Source organism: Homo sapiens, chromosome 18, assembly GCF_000001405.40.
Source record: "Homo sapiens chromosome 18, GRCh38.p14 Primary Assembly".
Classification (NCBI taxonomy): Eukaryota; Metazoa; Chordata; class Mammalia; order Primates; family Hominidae; genus Homo; species Homo sapiens.
This window is the reverse complement of record NC_000018.10, coordinates 42,449,290-42,468,760: the sequence shown is the minus strand read 5'-3', so window position 1 is coordinate 42,468,760 and position 19,471 is coordinate 42,449,290. Positions and strand designations below refer to the sequence as shown.

The following is a 19,471-nucleotide window of genomic DNA, read 5'->3' as shown; positions in this document are numbered from 1 at the left end:
CTAAAGAGTCAACTTGGGCCTGAAGGACTGATAAAGTTTGTGATATGTCTGTGATGCTAGCGGAGAGTCATTAGAGAGGCCATGGAAGGTCATGACAGAGGTTGAAATGCCTGCTATCCCAGTACCAAGAGCAATAGTGGAGGCAGAAAGTCCTAAACAGACAAGCAAGGGAATTAGTGGAATAATTCTTTTTTGTTGTGTCAGTGTTATGAGGGGAACAGGAAGCTCTTCAGTCCCATCTGCAAATTGAATTTTGGGAGTAAGGAAAACTAGTGTGCATGTGCCTGTCCAATTTGCATGTAGGTAGAGGATCCACAGAGGAAGAAGAGACCTTGTGCAAGGCAAAACTGGAAATGCAAAGTAAAAAGATGAGAAGGAGTACTAAAAAAGCTGTTTTGTACCCAGACTCCTAGGGATCCAGCTAGGGTGACAGCCATCAGCAGTTGTAATGGGGACTGATGGGATAACTGCATAGAGGTTTGATTTTCATGGTGTGTGAGAAAACGTTGAGTGTCTATGAGCAACCTTTCACTGTTATTTATGGGGCTGGGTATAAGTAAATAAGAAGAGGGCCTGGGAGGAGAGTCTGACGAGCAAGGGGAAGGTAGCCAAGGATGGAGTGAAATACAGGGTAAGTGTCTTCCTAAGCAATAATAACTGCTGATGTTTTTAAGTTTGCCAGTATTGATAGAGGTTTTATCTGTAATATGGAGCTGGAAGCCTCCAACTGTTTCAGTGATGTGTGTAGTTGAACTTTGGAGATGAAGACTGAAGGAACACCGAGAAGATGAAAGGTTACCCAGGGGAATTCCAGTGGGTCTTTGCTGAGAGATACATAAAAGAGTGGCCACAGGAATAGTAGTTTGTGTTCTGAGGGGTCCAAATATGGGGGGAGTAGAGTTGATATAAGGAGAAAGGTTTTTTAAGTAAGTGCGGAGGAGGGTGGCAGCTTGCTGATGTGAAATGTCTGAGGAGGTCTTGCTGGACCTGTCTAGAAAGTAAAGAAGTTCTTCAGGAGGGCAAAGGTGAGGGCGGTTAAAGGAAGTTCGGAGGTGTAGGGAGACAGGAGATGTTCCCAGTCTGTCTGTAAGGCGGGGACAGCTGTATAGGCACAGGAAGAAAGGGAAATGCAAAGCCAGCAATTGTTCACTAAGGAGGGATTAGAAATGGCTAGGAAAGAGTGAATGAGATTGATAGTGTGGTGAAAGTATTGGAGGGTGTCCTGCCACCAAAGATCATCTATCCACTCTAAGAGGGAGTAAAGAGTGGTGGTTTGGGGATAGCACCAGGAGATATTAGCTGTGATGGCTTGGAGAAACAGTGTAAACTGGCAGTGTAAACAAGAGTAGGGCATTTATGAGTAGTTGAGAATGGTGAATAGGAGTATGACTGGACAGAAGACAGTAGGGATGACAAGTTTTGGGGGGTCAGGCCAAGTAGTGGGGGTGACTGCATAAAGTCCTGTTGCAAAAAGTAGGGTAAGGACGAATAGACCTAATAGAATGAAACGATGTATTAGGTTCATAAGAGTTATTACTGTTCTTCAAAAATGTGAGTGAGTTTAAGTGAAGTAGGGGAGAGTACTTGAGACTTCCAGGAGGAAGAGGAGAGATTAGGCTGGCTGTCTGGTGGATACAGCTTTATTCTGGAACAGTAAACCCAGTGGGGAGGATCCTGCAGGCAAACGGCAGTTGGGGTACTACAGATAAGTAGGGTCCGGTCCATTGAGGTTGTAGAGTTTGAGGGGTCAGATTCTTAACAAGAACTGACCATCCAGCTAGGGTGTCTTCATATGGCTGGGAATCTGGAGTAGGCAAGAGAATATTAGCAGCCTGGCAAATTTCCTATCTAGCCTGCTGGAGGACTGGAGGATAGTCGCCTAGAGGGCTGGTGTCTGGGATGAGGTTGGGGGCCAAGCAAGAAAGTACGTCCATGCAAAAGTTTAAATGGACTGTACCCTGTAGCATCTTGAGGACAGGCTCTAATTCTGAGAAGGGCAAGAGGTAAAAGTACTGTCCAGTCCTTTTTAAGTTACAGGCTGAGCTTGGTGAGATGTGTCTTTAAAAGACCATTAGTCTGTTCTACCTTTCCGAAGATTGAGAATGGTAAGGGGTATGAAGTTTCCACTGAATACCAAGAGCCTCAGAAACTGCTTGGGTGATTTGACTAGTAAAGGATGGTCTGTTATTGGACTGTATACAGGTGAGAAGGCCAAACTGAGGAATTATGTCTGACAGAAGGGAAGAAATGACCATGGTGGCCTTCTCAGACCCTGAGAGAAAGTCCTCTACACATCCAGTGAAAGTGTCTACCCAGACCAAGAGGTATTTTAGTTTCCTGACTCGGGGCATGTGAGTAAAGTCAATTTGCCAGTCCTGGACAGGAGCAAATCCCTGAGCTTGATGTGTAGGGAAAGGAGGGGGCCTGAACAATCCCTGAGGGGTAGTAGAATAGCAGATGGGACACTGAGAAGTGATTTCCTTGAGGATAGATTTCCACAGTGGAAAGGAAATGAAAGGTTCTAAAGAGGCAGGCTAGCAACTTGTAACCTACATGGAAGAGGTTATGAAATGATGACAGAATACAATGGGCCTGTGAGGCTGGAAGGGGATATTTTCCTTGGTCTAAGAACCATTTGCCTTGTGTGGGAAGAGATTGATAGGTGGAAGTTTCATGGGAGAGTAGGTGGGAGTGACCAATGACAAGGAGAAAAACTGGCCATGAGGGACAGAAGTTGGAATACTAGCTGCTTCTTTAGCTACCTTATCAGCATAAGCGCTCCCCAGAGCAATGGGATCTGACACCTTTTGATGGTCCTTGCAGTGAATGACTCCAGCTTCCTTTGGAAGTAAAGTGGCCTTGAGAAGAGTTTTTATTAAAGACGCATTAATGATGTAGGAACCCTGTGTAGTGAGGAAACTTCTTTCTGCCCCTATAACAGCATGGTGGTGCAGGATATGGAAGGCATATTTAGAGTCGGTATAAATATTGACACGTAGTCCCTTTTCAAGAGTGACGGCTCAAGTAAAGGCAATGAGTTTGGCTTGCTGAGAGGTAGTGGAGGGGGCAGAGCGGTAGCCTTAATGATAAATGTGAAAGATAATATAGCAAAGCCTGCCTTTGCTGGTGAGTGATGATTAGGCTTGGTGGAACTGCCATCAATAAACCAAGTGTGATCAGGGTGAGGAACAGGAAAGAAGGAAATATGGGGAAATGGGGTGAATGTCAGGTGGATCAGAGAGATACCATCATGGGGGTCAGGTGTGGTATCTGGAATAATGTGGGAGGCTAGATTGAAGTCTGGGCCAGGAACAATGGCAATTGAGGGAGACTCAACAAAGAGTGAGTATAGCTGAAGGAGTCGGGGAGCAGAAAGTATATGTGTCAGGTGTGAGGAAGAAAATTGATTTTGGAAGTTATGAGAACTGCAGAGAGTGAGTTGAGCATAGTTTGTGATTTTGAGGGCCTCTAAAAATTATCCAACCATTCCCAGGAAGGAAAGGAGTTGTTGTTTTGTAGAAGGGGTCAGGGTTTGAGAGATCAGTCAGACACAATCAGCAGGGAGAGCAAGTTTGTTTTCATGAAGAATTATGCCGAGGTAGGTAACAGATGGAGAAGAAATTTGAGGTTTGGAGGGGGATACCCGATATCCCTTGGAGAATAAATGTTGAAGGAGCAGGAGGGTGTCTTGTTGAGAAGATTCAAAGGAGGGGCTCCAAAGTAGAAGTTCATCAATATATTGAATAAGGTGAGAAGTGGAGGGGTGGAAAGAAAGTAAATCATGAGAAAGAGCTTGGCTGAAGTAATGAGGGCTACCCCTGAAGCCTTGTGGCAGTACAGCCCAGGTAAGCTGCTGGGACTGATGGGTGTCAGGGTCATCCCAGGTAAAAGCAAGGAGTGGCTGGGACAAGGGGTGCAGGGGAATAGTGAAAAAAGCATCTTTAAGATCAAGAACGGAATAGTGAGTTGTGGAGGAAGGTATTGAGAACAAAAGGGTGTATGGGTTGAGCACCACAGGGTGGATAGGCAAAACAATTTGGTTGATAAGGTGCAGATCCTGAACTAACCTGTAGGACTTGTCCAGTTTTTGGACACGTAAAATGGGAGAATTGTAAGGAGAGTTTATAAGTTTTAGAAGTACATGCAGTGGCAGGTGAGTGATAACAGGCTTCAATCCCCTTAAAGCCTGTTGTGGGATGGGATACTGGCATTGAGCAGGATAAGGGTGATTAGGTTTTAATGGGCTAGTAATGGGCATGTGATCGGTTGCCAGGAAAGGGAGTAGAGTTGTCCCATATTTGTGGGTTAAGGTAGGGGGATATGAGAGGAAGATGCAAAGGAGGCTTTGGGTTGGGAAGAAGGGTGGCAATGAGATGTGGCTGTAGTCCAGGAATAGTCAGGGAAGCAGATAAATTGGTTAAAATGTCTCAGCCTAATAAGTGAACTGGGCAGGTGGGGATAACTAAAAAAGAGTGCATAAAAGAATATTGTCCAAGTTGGTACCAGAGTGGGGAAGTTTTAAGGGGTTTTGAAGCTTGGCCGTCAATACCCACAACAGTTGTGGGGGCAAGGGAAACAGGCCATTGAAAAGAAGGTAATGTGGAGTGGGTAGGCTCCACATTAAGAAGGGGACGGACTTACCCTCCACTGTAAGAGTTACCCAAAGCATCTGTGATGGTCCAGGAAGCTTCTGAGGTGATTGGGAGATTAGTCTTCAGTCACTAAGCCAAGAAGATCTGGGAGGGAGTCAGTCAGAAAGCCTTGGGCCAGAGTTCTAGGGGCTCTGGGAGTGGCTGCCGGGTGAGTTTCAGTGGACAGTCTGATTTTCAGTGGGGTCCTGTGCAGATGGGACACGGCTTAGAAGGAATCCCGGACTGCAGATATTCCTTGGCCCAGTGGCCAGATTTCTGGCACTTGAAGTAAAATCCTGATGGAAGAGGTCTTGTAGGAATGCTTGACCACTGCGGTGTATGCATTTTGAAGTTCTTGTGTGCTGGAGATGTGGCTGGGGTTTCTTTCACAGTGGAGGCAAGGAATTGCAACTCAGAAATATGTTGCCACTTGGCTGACTCTACTCTATTATTGTATACCTTGAAGGCGAGGTTAATTAAGTCCTGTTGGGGGGCTTGAGGGCCAGAATCTAATTTTTGGAGCTTTTTTAATGTCGGGAGTGGATTGGGTAATAAAATGCATGTTGAGAATAAGACGGCCTTCTGACCTTTCAGGGTCTAGGGCTGTAAAGCATCTCAGGGATGCTGCCAAACGAGCCATGAACTGAGTTGGGTTTTTATATTTGATGAAAAAGAGCCTAAATGCCAATTGATTTGGGAGAGGTCGGATAAAGAAAAAGGAGCATTAACCCTGACTATGCCTTTAGCTCCAGCCACCTCTTTAAGAGGAAATTTTTGGGCAAGTGGGAGAGGGCTAGTCGTGGAACGAAAGTGTAAGCCAGACCGGGTGTGAGGAGGGGAGTTGATAGAAGGATTATAGGGTAGGGGGAGTGGAGGCTGAGAAAGAATTGGAGCCTGATTCAGCCTGGCAGGGAGTGACCCGAGGTGGAGCAGTCTGGGGATGAGGGGAGAGGTCAGATGGGTCTGTAGAAAAGGAAGATTGAAAAGACACAGTGATGCTTGGGGTTGGGACTGAGGGGACAGGCAGGAGGGAAACAAGGAGGATTTGGGACGAGTCACATTGAGAACAGAGACTAGAGAGGGACTGATGTGTAAAAGAATGCCTGGACATCAGGCAGCTCAGACAGTTTGCCCATTTTACGACAAGAATTATCTAGATCTTGTTGGATGGAAAAATCAAAAGTGCCACTTTCTGGCTATTTGGAACCACTGTCGAGTTTGTATTGGGGTTAAGCAGCATTGCAGAAGAAAATAAGGCATTTAGGTTTTAGGTCAGGTGTGAGTTGAAGAGGTTTTAAGTTTTTGAGAACACAGGCTAAGGGAGAAGAAGGAGGAATGGACGGTGGAAGTTTGCCCATAGTGAAGGAGGCAAGCCCAGAGAAAAGAGAGGGTAGAGACACAAAGAGAAGGAGTGGGGTGTGCTTGCCCCCCAGGAAAGTGGTGCTTGCCACTAAGGGTGAAGGATCAAAGCAGGCATCCCCACTGTGATCAGACACCTCTGAAACGTGGGTGAATAATCAAGCAGGCATCCCTCCAGTGATTAAACACCAAGGGAAGACTGTCTTCCTGAATCCATGACCAGTGCCGGAGTTTTGGGTTCACGGATAAAACGCATCTCCTCTGTCTCTACCAGAAAAGGAAATGAACTGAAATTAAGACAAGGGAGAAATGAAGGATGGTGCCAAGATTGAAAGGAGAAAGAGATTGAGGGATACTGAGAGAGGCTGGAGAAGAGAGTAAAAAGAGGCTGCTTACCCGATTTAAAATTGGTGAGATGTTCCTTGGGCTGGTTGGTCTAAGGACCCAAAGTCGTAGGTGGATCTTTCTCATGGAGCAAAGAGCAGGAGGACAGGGGATTGATCTCCCAAGGGAGGGCCCCCAATCCTAGTCACGGCACCAAATGTCACGCACATCCATGTGAAGAGACCACCAAACAGGCTTTGTGTGAGTAACAAGGCTGTTTATTTCACCTGAGTGCAGATGGGCTGAGTCCAAAAAAAAGAGTCAGCAAAGGGTGGTGGGATTATCATTAGTTCTTACAGGTTTGGGATAGGCATACAAAGCACATTCTTAAGAGCGGGAGAGAACATTCCGAAGTACCTTCTTAAGGGTGGGGGAGAATATATGTATCAGTTAGGGTGGGGTGGAAACAAATCACAATGGTGGAATGTCATCCGTTAAGGCTATTTTCACTTATTTTGTGGATCTTCAATTGCTTCAGGCCATCTGGATGTATAACGTGTAGGTCACAGGGGTATGATGGCTTAGCTTGGGCTCAAAGGCCTGACAGAAACTCTGGGCAAGTAACCATGATTTGATGACAGAAGATAGAGAAAAAGGAGAGGCAACAAGAGAAGAGAATAAATGACTCAGTTTGCTTTTTTCCTTACATGTCTGACATGCAGTCTCTCCACCCTCTGGAGAACCCGAGACCCCATTCATTTGTCAGCCCTCCTTCCCTAATAGCCTGGGCGTCTCCTTCCTAGAAGTTACTATTTCCAAAAGAGGGCCTAATACCATCACCTCCAGAGCAGATGGTCACTAATTGCCACAAGTAAACAAACATAGACTACAACAGATACATCTTGTAGCTTTGAATATCATTAATTTTCAAGAACACCAGGGGTACCCATCCCCAATTAGTGGAGCATGTGAAGCTGGGAGCAGAACTGAGGGAGCCATGCCAGGCAGGCCATGCTGGGGGCCAGACTCCCATCCTGCAGGCCTCAGACCCGATAGGAAAAATTCAGGAAGCCACTTAACCTTGTTGCCTTGTTTTCTCATCTGTAAAACAGTAGGTAATAAAATCTTTCAGCTTCCTCACTGGGTTTTATGTGAGTGAACTAATTAATGATTGTATAAAACCTAATACGATGCAACATGTAATTGAAAAGTTTAATCATCAAGGTAATAGTCCAATAATAGTAGGTTGCAAAGTAGTGATAAATAGTGCTTTTAAAATGCAGCTATTACCATTTTGATATTTTCTCTCTGATCTGCATTTTCAAATTAGAAGCATATATAATTTCAGTTTTATTTCCATTTTTATAATATTGTTTAATTCCTACAAAGCTGCTTCCTCTGTTGTTCTCACTGTGATATTTCAGGCAAATAGAGAATCGCCGTAGATTCCACTAATAACTAGATGTTCCAATTAAAAGTTCTTATGCCCAGGAGTCCTAATGCCAAACTAGTTGGTCAAGAATCTGCCTACCTCTTACACAGCTGGAGAACTAACTCTTCATTTTCCAAATTAGATAAAAAGAAATCTTCACAGTCATAATTTCTTTGCCCTTTGACCTTGTTGCCATTCTAGTAAGTTCATATTTTGCCTTTCCTGACTCCTCAGCCTTTGCACAAGCTGTTTCCGCCGCCTAAAATGCCCTATTGCCTCCTTCATAGAAATGCTTCTTTCTAGAGAATTCCTACTCCTTTTGCAAAAAGTAAACTAAGCCTCGTTCTGTGACACTTTCCCTGACACCTCTGAGAAAACCTAGGATTCTCTCATCTCTGCAATCCCTTTTGCACCTACAGGTCCCTCCATTATTGAAATTTTCACAGTGTATTGTTTTGGGTTGTCAAGTATTTGTTCCCTTAATAGATGCTAACCAATTTAAGAACGAGAATTGTCTCTTCTAAATTGCACCTCTTCCTTTCCCAGTACCATGAAGGGCACAATGTAAGTGTTCAATAAATTTTTTGGTAGTGATAAGCATAAATTTATTAAGTGCATTATTAATTATGGCCCTATGTCATTATATATTTTCTCATTTAGTAACTATTTTGTCTCATGTGCATCTGAAAAAATGTGGTTTTAAGAAATATTCTCACATTTGATATAGTTAAGGACTGCCTCATGCTCAAAATTCATAGCTTTACAAAAAAGTTTTCTGTGAATTGGTGCCTGCCTATTTTTCTAACCTCAAAACCTATCACTGCCCTCAAGACAACACCTACTGCAATTGCACCAGACTTCTTGTAGCTTCCTGAATCATCCCTGCTGCATCATGCCTGTGCCCGCGAGCCTGTCATTCTGGAATGGCCTTTCCACTCTGCTTGATAAGCTCCTACTCATCCTTCAATTTGGTTATCATCTCCTGTCTGTGGATGCCCTTGACAGTTTATGCCCCACCTTACAAATGGGTGCTTTTATTCTTTGTACTTCCCAGGGTCTTTACAAACCACTGCCTCACTTATCTCAATATCCTAAGTGCATATGTATATACCTCCTCCCCTTCAAGCTGGGAGCTCCTTTCAGATAAGGACAGTGTTTGATTCTGACTTGAAAGAGCAGATCTTATTGCAAAGCCTGACACACAGTTAAAGCTCAATTAGTAGTTGTCAAATGAATGAATGAATTGGTAATAGCTCTACCTATTATACAGGCTGACTGAAGGAGATGAAAATTGCAGAGTCCTTATTGTTTACTCTTTAACTACAAGACATCAAATTTTGTATTTCTCTTGGTTTATTGTAAGATATATTGGAATAAATATTGAACATATTTTTACTAAATTTACATTGTTTTCCTAGGACAAAAATATGTCTGTGCATCACTCTTGCTTTATTTATTATGCCCTCAAACATCCCCCTATACAATCTCACATTACCCTCTGTCGGCCCATGTTTTAGACTCATTCCCCAGACTGTCTTAAGAGTTATTTCTTGCCTGCACAACTCCATCCTATAAGAGGAAATTTCCCAACCACACATCAAATCTGTCTATCTTATTCGTGGCTGAGAGAGCTTGGAGGAGAGTAAGTGATTGTGAGTATTCCAGAGTAAACTCAGTACATGTTAAAGTTTACAGAATCCTAAAGATTGAGAAGAGATTTATGGCTTGGATAGGAGTTAAAAATCTACTATTTTACCATACTTTTCTAATCCATACAATTTTGGGAAAAATCATTTTTGCACCAAGAACTACAGACTAATAACTTTTTCTATTTATTTTACTGAAGCATTTTATGTTCAGCTCAGAAATGACTGCTCATCAAAACTAAGTGCAAGCATTGATGATAAAATCTCCTAGAATTTTTACACAGAAAACCAGAAACTGAAAGCATTCCTTTACATATGGTAAAGAAAAATGTGCAATCTTCATTTTCAAGGCTGAAGAGAATTTGAAACATATATATTTACACATATATACATAAACATATATATACATATACATTACACATTTATTTTTGAATCAAGATAAGTCTATTACCATCATCATCATCTCATCATTATTATCATTATCATCAACTAGCACTTACTGAGCACCATTTATTAATTGTTCACTGGACTAAATGGCATTTCCCTTGCCAGAGACTGACAGAATTGAATAAAGATTTGTGGATTCTCTGAAGGAAGGGCCAAGGGGCACTTCTTAAATAAATCTCTTAGGTGTTGTTATCACCATAATCTAGAGACTCTCAGCCAAATCTCCACAGAGAAAATTAGAGTCAAACTCCTTTGATGTCTTGTAAAAGAAAAAAATCCTTGCTTTGTCATTGAAAAAAAACACAACCTATCACTTATTAATAAACACCTCAGAAGATCATCTAATAGGGTCAAGCCATAGACTTCTTCTGTCTTGTAGTGCTTCTCATGTCTATGTTAAATAGGCTGTGGAACCCTCATCTTCTAAGGAATACCGTTTTTACCCCCTGCTAGTAAAAACACTTACACTGGATCCACTGAGACATGCCTGATGTGGCTCACAGAGGCTGAGTTGATTGTGCTATTGTACGTTTTGGTGGCTGGTCCTTTTAGGAGAGAAAGCTCATAATCACTTCACAATAGTTTTACCCCATGGGATTTTTATCTAACTTATTTCCTGATCAAGGGAATTTTCTTAAGCTAGACTGAAGAACTTTGCAGAGGAGAAGAGAACCACTGCTTATAGTTATTTTCTTTGTTTTTTGTTTTTGTTTTTGAAAGAAAGTGACTTTTAGAAGCAAAATTATAAAGTTAAGCACAGTCCTTTTTCAACCCTGATTTGCTTATTCCATGTTCTCTTCCTACTGAGCTATTTCTTTCTTTCTCCCCTGTATCCTTCTTCCTACCTCCATACTTCTCAAACAATGCTCTTAGTGGAGATGCTCATACCACTCAATTACAGCTTTCTGTGAATTTAGCTCACAGTTATCTCTGTAAAAGGATTGTTTAAGTCTCCTTTTAAACATAACCCTGGCATGCTTTGAATTCTGCTAAAAATATTTCATATAGCAGTGAATGAATAAGAACAAAATCTTTTGCAATCAAAATTAGGTTTCTAACTTTTCTACCTAAATTAGTTCTGCTTAGATTAAGTAGCAATTTTTTGGGCAGACATGGTGGCCCATGCCTGTAATCTCAGCACTTTGGGAGGCTGAGGTGGGATGATCACCTGAGGTCAGGAGTCTGAGACCAGCCTGGCCAACATGGCGAAACCCCATCTCTACTAAAAATACAAAAATTAGCCGGATGTGGTGGAGCATGCCTGTGATTCCAGCTATCTGGGAGGCTGAGGCAGGAGAATCACTTGAACCTGGGAGGGGGAGGTTGCTGTGAGCTGAGATCACACCACTGCATTCCAGCCTGGGCAACAGAGTGAGACTACGTCTCAAAAAAAAAAAAAAAAAAGTAATATTTCTATCACTACTAGCCACCTGGAGTACATTAGTCATGCTGTTCTCTCCTTCCTACCCTTTGGTAAGGAAGTCATTCCACCTGTGGCAGAAACAGGATAACCTATGCTTCTCCCTCCTGCTTAGAGGGTATGGATGGTCTTGAACTCTAATTCTTCCAAATAAGGTTGTGTTGGTGACTGTTCATCAGACTAAAATGCAAGCATGCTGAAATGTTCCATATGCTTCTATCCAATATTTTATTTGTAACCTGCATAAGAGATGTAAATAAAACTGACTTTTATCTTGATTCAGTCACTCCTCAGTTAATCACAAATGCATAGTTTAACATGAAATTCAATTTATACTTCTGACTTATCACTGCACAGTGTTAGATTATGTTAAAGAAATTTGATTGAATCTTAACAAGTGCCTCAATGTGTGTTTTTTTAAAAATATAGTTATTTCTCTCATAAAACTTTAAACAAAAACTGAAGCATATAAAGTTATGAGATATATTTAATTATGTGGTTCTTGAAATAGGCTATGAATATTGTTCCCCATGGTAACATTCATAAATATCAGATATTTGAAGTTTTAGTGGAATAAGTGTGTGGCTACCCTTGCTGAGTACTTATATAAAAAGAATATTGATTTGGATTATGAATTCAGTAACTTAAAATCATAAGAGTGTTGGCATTGGAAGGAAGGAGACCTTAGAGATATTGCTGCTAGTATATTAGAACCTGTCTGAAGCATTCTTTCAATAAATTTGAAGAAATTCTCTATCATTCCTATGGGCACTTAAGTTAATGGAATAAAGATTCTTATATTTTTGGTGCAACATTTAATTTCCCTAGGGGTAATATTTTCGGCTAGTCATTGGCATCAAAACTTTAATTTGCAATTCTTTAAGCATAAACTCATTATTACACGTTACACATATGATAATAATGAGAATTACAGCCTTCAGAAATGACGCTTACATCATTGCACCTTTTTTCTCACTGTCATTCCTTCATCAACAAGTATTTATTAGCACTACTGTGTACCAGCCATTATTTTGGGTGCTGCAGATTACAGTTATGAACTTTGTAGGCAAGAATTCTGTTTGCAGAGCTTACACTTTTTCAAGGGAGCCATATTACTATAAGCAAGCAAAAAATGAATGAATGAAGAATAAAACACTTTAAGATAGTAGAAGTTTTAGGAAGAAAATAAGGCAGTGGGATGTGATAGAAAATGTATGGCACTTTTATAGATAGTTTTTTGAGATCATGAAAGACCAAAAAAAAAAAAAAAAACTGTGCAAAGCTATGAAAGAAGATTATGGCAGGTGGAGGGATCAACTAGTACAATATCTCTGAATATAGTGTGTATAGGATGCAGAAAGAGGATAGGCATTTGTGAGTGAGCCAATCCTCCTCTTCCCAGGGTTTCTTTCACCTTTTCCCACTGTACTGCATCTGTTCAGGCCCATTCCCTTGGACTTTGCTCTGTTCTCATCAATCTCATGGTCTTCTTACTTTCAAGCTCTGTTCATTCCTTATTGACACTCAAATGTCTTTCTATATCAGAGTTCTATTTCCCTTGTCCTGAACAAAGACTGCTTGTAAACCAAAACCCTCAGGCTTATCTCCCATAGCCTCCGTCATCTGGCTCCAACTCGTAATGCTTCCACTCATATGTCCCCTACTGCAAATGCACAGTGCTATTTCTCAACCTAATGTGTTTGTTCAGATCGTTCTCAAACAGCCACCTTGCATATCTCCTTCCTAATTCTGTTTAAATGTTCAAATCCTGCCTATACTTTAAGCTATATACTTAAGACACTAAGATCTAATACTAAACTTTACCTCAAAATCTTCACTGTTTATTATAGCCCGAAATATCTCAATTTTCTTTCAAAGTCTATGGCAATTCCTATCTGTATAATTTATTTGTTCATTAATTAAGTTCTGCTTTGTAATACCTTTTCTTTTATTAACAATTAATATTATTTACTTTCGATCCTTATTTATCTGTTTACCTGGTTGTTTTTGGTCTCTCCAACTAATTGTGAATATTTTGAGAGAAAAACCATGTTTCATGTTCCTTCCATTATCTTATCCCAGCCCAATGCTAGGGACATCATAGGTGCTCAGTCACTGCTTATGATTTAAGCTCAGCTGAACATAACTCTGTCTGACTGAATACACGGAGGAATGATTTTGATGGACTTGCCTCTAATCTGGCAGTTCCCTTCTTCAACACTCATATAAAAGGAATGAGTTATTACGGTATATGCTATACTAAAATATAAAGTCTCTTCAATTCTTGCTCCAAGCCCTTTCCCAGGAATATTTGTGAAATGTACATTAGCTCTCAACTCTATTGACTCAGAAACAGAAAATCTCAGGAGGTAACACAACACAGGCAAATTAATGATTTGTGAGTGATGAATGGAATGGCACTGAAATAGATGAGAGACCCCAAGGAAAGCTGTCTAGCCAGCATGGAATAGGAGTAACAAAGAAACAAATCCATTTTAAATAAATGTCATACCTCCTATAAAATCCTGCGAAACCAAGAACAACCAACACTGCGAACTACTTGCTGATGCCAGTCTTGCTAATGGTATAATTTTCCTAAAAAAAAAATGAAAGAAAAAAGAAAATTTTATGAACTAAAGGGTAATATGTGGAATCTTTGATTTTTGACTATGGATATAATTTAGTGTAGTCACTTATTTTAAAATGAGGAAATTGAGCCTAGACTAGGAGAATCGCTTGCAGAGATGACCCTGGTATGGATACACTGCTCCCTATATCATTGCTGCCTGAGGGAGAGAGGGGCTATTTCTAGTGCAAAGTGGCAGTTGCAGGGACTGGTTTCTATTGTCAGCCTCTTTGCTGTGACCAGAACTTTCTCATGAGCACCCTCACTTCAGGTCATGAATAACTCTTAAGAGGCCTGAATCCTCTCACTCCCAATTCCTCCTTGGCCAATGGAAGGACTAAGTTGAGGAAATCAGGAGGCCGTCTCAACCTACCACCTCATACTCCCATATACTCCCAGCACCCTTGTTCATATCCTGCCTCTTCTCTCAACTCCACATTGCTTGGTTCTTCCTCTCTCTTTTTTTTTAATTTAAAATTTGTTTTTTTGAGATGGAGTCTTGCTCTGTCACCCAGGCAGGAGTGCAGTGGCGTGATCTCGGCTCACGGCAACCTCTGCCTCCCAGTTCAAGCGATTCTCCTGCCTTAGCCTCCTGAGTAGCTGGGATTACACACGCCCACCACCACACCCAGCTAATTATTATTATTATTTTTTTGTATTTTTAGTAGAGGCAGGGTTTCACCATGTTGACCAGGCTGGTCTTGAACTCCTGACCTCAAGTGATCCTCCTGCCTCAGTCTTCCAAAGTGCTGGAATTACAGGGATGAGCTACCATACCTGGCTGGTTCTTCCTCTTTCCAGGGACCCTCATCTTCATCTCTTTTCAACCACAAGCATTTCCATGAAGGCACCTGGATCTTCTCTTCCATGGTAAACCCCTTTATCTTCAACTGCTTCCTGAATTGTTTTGCCCCTTCCAGGCCTCAACAGATATCTAGAAGTGCCTGAAGGATACAAATTGTAATAAATGCATCTCAAATGAAAATTTCTTTTTCTCCTTCATTTTCCTTGCCTCTAGGTCAAAGAAATGGTTATCATTCTCATTACTCTCTCTCTAGTGATTTTTCCAGAACATTTCTATTTAGACCTCAGTAAGAAAAATAAGAAAGAAAAAGACATCTTGCAGCTCTTTCTACCTAATCATATAATTTGAATACCTCCTCATCACTAATACCTACCATGCTTCTGGTCATTCATCCTTCTTCATTGCTTCCTTTAGCTTAAAGCACACTACCCTTTGGCCCAGCTCCATTTCTGTCTTCACCCTAGGTGCCCTCAGTACCCCTTGTGTTAAGCCACTGTACAATTGGTAAATTCCTCTCTGTGTTTTTATCACCAGTGCCTCCCCAACCCTATTTCTGCCATCCACCCACTGCCCTCACCCTAAACTTCGCTACCATCCAGTGTTATTTTACTTCTGAAACATTTCGTTTAAATTCGGCTCTCACATAACTGAATTGCCCAACAATAGGAAATGGCTAAATTATTGTCATTGCATAATACAGGATATCATGCAATTATTTATACAAACGAGGTAGATAAAAATATGCTGATATGAAAGTTTTCTAAAACATATAGTTAGATGAAAAAAGTCAATTAACAACGTATCTTAATGGACTTTTATCAGAATATTACAATCCATTTTTGTGCAAATAAATCATTTACAGCTATGTGTATGTATAAATGCATAGGAATTTTCCAAAAGGATAAATAAACTGCTAAGAGTGATTTCTTTGGGAAAAAGGTTAATAATGAGGACAATAAGGAGATATTTTAATGTTTCATTCTTTGTAGTTCTGTATGTCCTGAATTGCTTTCAATAAGTATGTATGTATACATTATTTGTAGAATTTTTAAATGTACATATATGAAAAAAACTCTTTACCACAATCTTTATCTTTCTTATACTCTGTTACTCTCTTTACCTATATCTTGACATTATTGAGAATTTCTGGGGTTTGACACTTTTTTATCGCCTCATGTCTTTCTTTCTTGGACTCTCTTAGTTACCATTTTCTGATCACTGCAACAATCTTACCATAATTTTTAAATTTTTGCCCCAGTTTTCCTTTATTACATCTACCCAGTATTATTCCACCTCAAGGTAGAGTCAACCATCCACTTTATCTACATTCAAGCTAATACCACCACATTTCTCTGGTTTACTTCCTACATAGATGCCTCCTCTAAATGCATTACAGGTTATTTTTCTCTACCTGTGCCTATAATGTTAGGGTTTCTCAGGGTTTTGCATGAAGACTTCTTTCGTCATTCTTCATGCTCTTCATAGTAGATTTAATTTAATTTTGAGGCTTTAAAAAAAACCCTAAAAAACTAAAGCTTAGTAATAATTCCTAGTCTTTACTTCATCTCATGCCTCTCTACTTTGTTCCAAACTCATATGTCAAGGTGACAAGTTGTGATTCTCATGAGTTCCTCAAACTCAATATGTTCAAGATCACATCCTTCTTTCTTTACTTGGATACTTGTTACAACTATCTCGAGGAATGAACCCATCATGCCACAACCTGTGTTTTTGATTTGAATTATTATTCTTTCCTGGTCTTTATATTCATTCGTTCACCTAGTCTACTAATTCTACCCCCTAAATAATTCTCAAAATTCTTGTTTCAAGCCATCATCATCACCTGCCTAGATATTGCAATGGTCTCTTGTCTAGTCTTTCTAACTTCTGCTTTTTTCCCTCTAGTTCATTTCTCATAAAGCCTAACTGACCTTCCTGAGATGCAAATCTCATCATGTCACTTCTCTGATGAAAACGATTTAATGATTTCCCCAACAAAAACAAGTTCAAAATTCTTTATAGGACTAACAACACCCTTCACAAGGCACTACGGGCTATCTCTTCAGTTCATGTACATTTGATTCACCCTTTGCTATCCACGATGAATCCATAATGAGTCCTTCAAAATTTTGTGTTTTCTTTTCCACCTCCATGGCTTTACCAACTCTGGCCTTCTCCCTGGCCTGCTCTTCCACCATTCTGCATTGAGCAAATTTCTATCCTCCATTCTAATACCAAATTAGAGGTAATTTCTCCCTCTAGATCCCAAAGGACATTTATATATTATTTTACCATGATTTTTGTCACTCTGTATTTTAACCGATTCATTTGTCTGTTTCATCTACTGAAGTATGAGCAAATTCCTGGGGAGTCAGGACAAGGTAATTTATTATAATATACAGGGTTTGATACATGGTGGGAATATGGTATCACGCAAATGCCAATGGCTCCTGAACCTATTGCTTCAACTGCGTTCTCTACTTTAGTCTTAATGCCCATGACTTATACTGTCTACTGAACTTTCCCACCTCAGTAATATAAGTTTATATAACTGCATGTGATAAGAGTTTAACACATCTAAAATATATACTCCTTATGACCCAACCTTTTCAAATAACCTGCTCTGCCTCCCAAAATCCAATTTTTGCTGAATTTCCCCAACATCCCCCCAACACCATCCTTCTCGTGGGCCCCTCAGCCTTTATCTTGTTCTTCTCAGGTCCAGGTTAGTCTATTTTTTTCTATTGAGAATTTCAGTAATGCATCCTTTTTTCTTCTCTCTGTACTTTCTTGGTTATCATTGCAACTTTGCAACAACTCTCTTGGAGAATGTAAACATAATCTCCTTTAATAACTAAATTTGTACAATTTTCTTCTGGCTATTGGTACTAAATTCAATTACAATATTCATTACCAAGATCACTTTTTAAGATAATGTAGATATTTTGAGTTATGATCCTCTTGGTTCACATTGGGAAAAGGCTGTTATCCTGATGTTCTTAAATAGGCCATTTTTCTTATTTCTCATGATGTGATTAAATAAAGATTTATCAACATCAATCAATTAATGTAACTGGACAAGGAGTAAGAATAGATACCTATCACATAATACCACTGTCTGCAGGGGTTAGCAGTCAATTGGCCACGGCAACAACCCCTAAAAACCAGTTAGCAGAGTAATCTTCCAATAGAATTGTTCCGATGGGAATGTAGTTGTTTCCTTGCACTCTGCTAATTAGTGACCCTGTATTTAATAATTTTAGAATACAAAATATAAATCTAAGTAAAAATTCTATCAATGCATTTTCTTGAAAAAATTTATGTGTTCAGAATGTTGGAAAAAAACACATTGTTTTCAAGCCCCTCCCTGAATATCTTTTTTAAAATATAAAATGTTGTGGAGACAGTGTTGATTAGATGCCAAGATTCTTAATTTTTGTCCTAATTGTTGCTAATTCTCTGTGTGATTTTGGAACTGTTACTTCTAACATTTACTTTTTGTTTCTTCTTTAAAATGAGAGGTTTGTATAAACTAAACATATCTTTAATATCTTATTTTATTTAGTATTTGTATTTAGTATCCCGCACTCATTTTCATTACTGGCTCTACAAATATACTGAGAGTTAATTTTGACAAACTTCAGTCAAGTCAACCAAGTAATTAATCAATCAGGGGCTGGCACCTTGACTTAGTTTACTGTAATTAGAGTCAGCTTGTTAAGATGTACCAGTATTTAAATAATATTCAAAAATTGTTTAATATGAACATGAAAGAAAGGACTCATTATTCTCATCAAAAGCATGTTCACACCTCAAGTAAATGTTTTCATTTTCATTGAGCACAGAATAGTATTCAGTCCTTAGCCTCACATTGGACAGTAATCAGATACATTTGTTATTAGTATTTTATGAATTAGTATTGTGAGAATAAAAGTTTTGCTTTATAAATTACTGTCCTGTCATGTCACTAGTTGACCTATATTATTACAAAACCACTGTCAATTATTACAAAAGAATTATGAGAAGATTATAAAACAGGATATGGCCAAACATAGTACTAGCTTTTAAAAAATGAGGAGAAGTAAATTAATGTTTATTGAACATATGCAATGGATCAAACCTTTTACATGTATTATCTCAATTAAATATAAGTCTTCTAAAAAGCATGACTTTATAGAGGAAATGAAAGATAGAATGACTTGAAATAGAGGTTATGACTTGTACAAGTGGAAGATACAAAATTTAAGACAAGTTCTGCCTAAATTGCAAAGCCACATATTCTTTAAAAGCAAAAAACTGATAGTAAAATAAAAAGTAAATGATAGTAAATTGAAAAGAGGCCTGGAGGCCTAGGAGGTTCTATATTCTATTGAACAGAGAGTTTAATATTAATTTCTGTCAAATTTTCAAAAAGTATTATTTTATGACATTTATGTCGTTTTTGATGTGTCTGTTGCAATGGCAAAACTGATGTATTGATTTATTATATTCTGATGTCAGAAAAACAAGCCCCTCATGACATATTTTTTGACAAGATGAAAAATCATAAATAGATGGATAATATCTGATTAAACAATTGTACACCCCAAAATGTTAATTGATGGATGTGTCATATAGTAGTTTATAAATCTGATTTAATAAGTACACACATGCACACAAACACACACACACACATACACTTACTATGGGAATGTGATCTGAATGCTCAGTATGTAGGTTATCAACTGTTCCTGTTTTCCTGGGAATGGAAAGCATTTCCAGGACAAGGTGTTTCCAGTTCT

General features: G+C 39.6%; 1 long non-coding RNA gene across 4 annotated transcripts in view; it reads right to left on the bottom strand.

The window, feature by feature from the left end:
- The window catches only part of LINC00907 (long intergenic non-protein coding RNA 907), a 504,759-nt gene that overhangs the window by 222,666 nt on the left and 262,622 nt on the right, over positions 1–19,471 (bottom strand). For 2 of the 4 annotated variants that reach the window (NR_046174.2, NR_046454.1), the window contains 2 exons: positions 14,663–14,829; positions 13,772–13,854 (listed from right to left, as the gene is read on the bottom strand). This is a non-coding gene — a long non-coding RNA (long intergenic non-protein coding RNA 907). Of the gene's footprint in view, positions 1–6,577; positions 6,927–9,085; positions 11,499–13,771; positions 13,855–14,662; positions 14,830–19,471 lie in introns of those variants that run through there. The other 2 variants (NR_046457.1, NR_046456.1) reach the window with 2 other exon arrangements.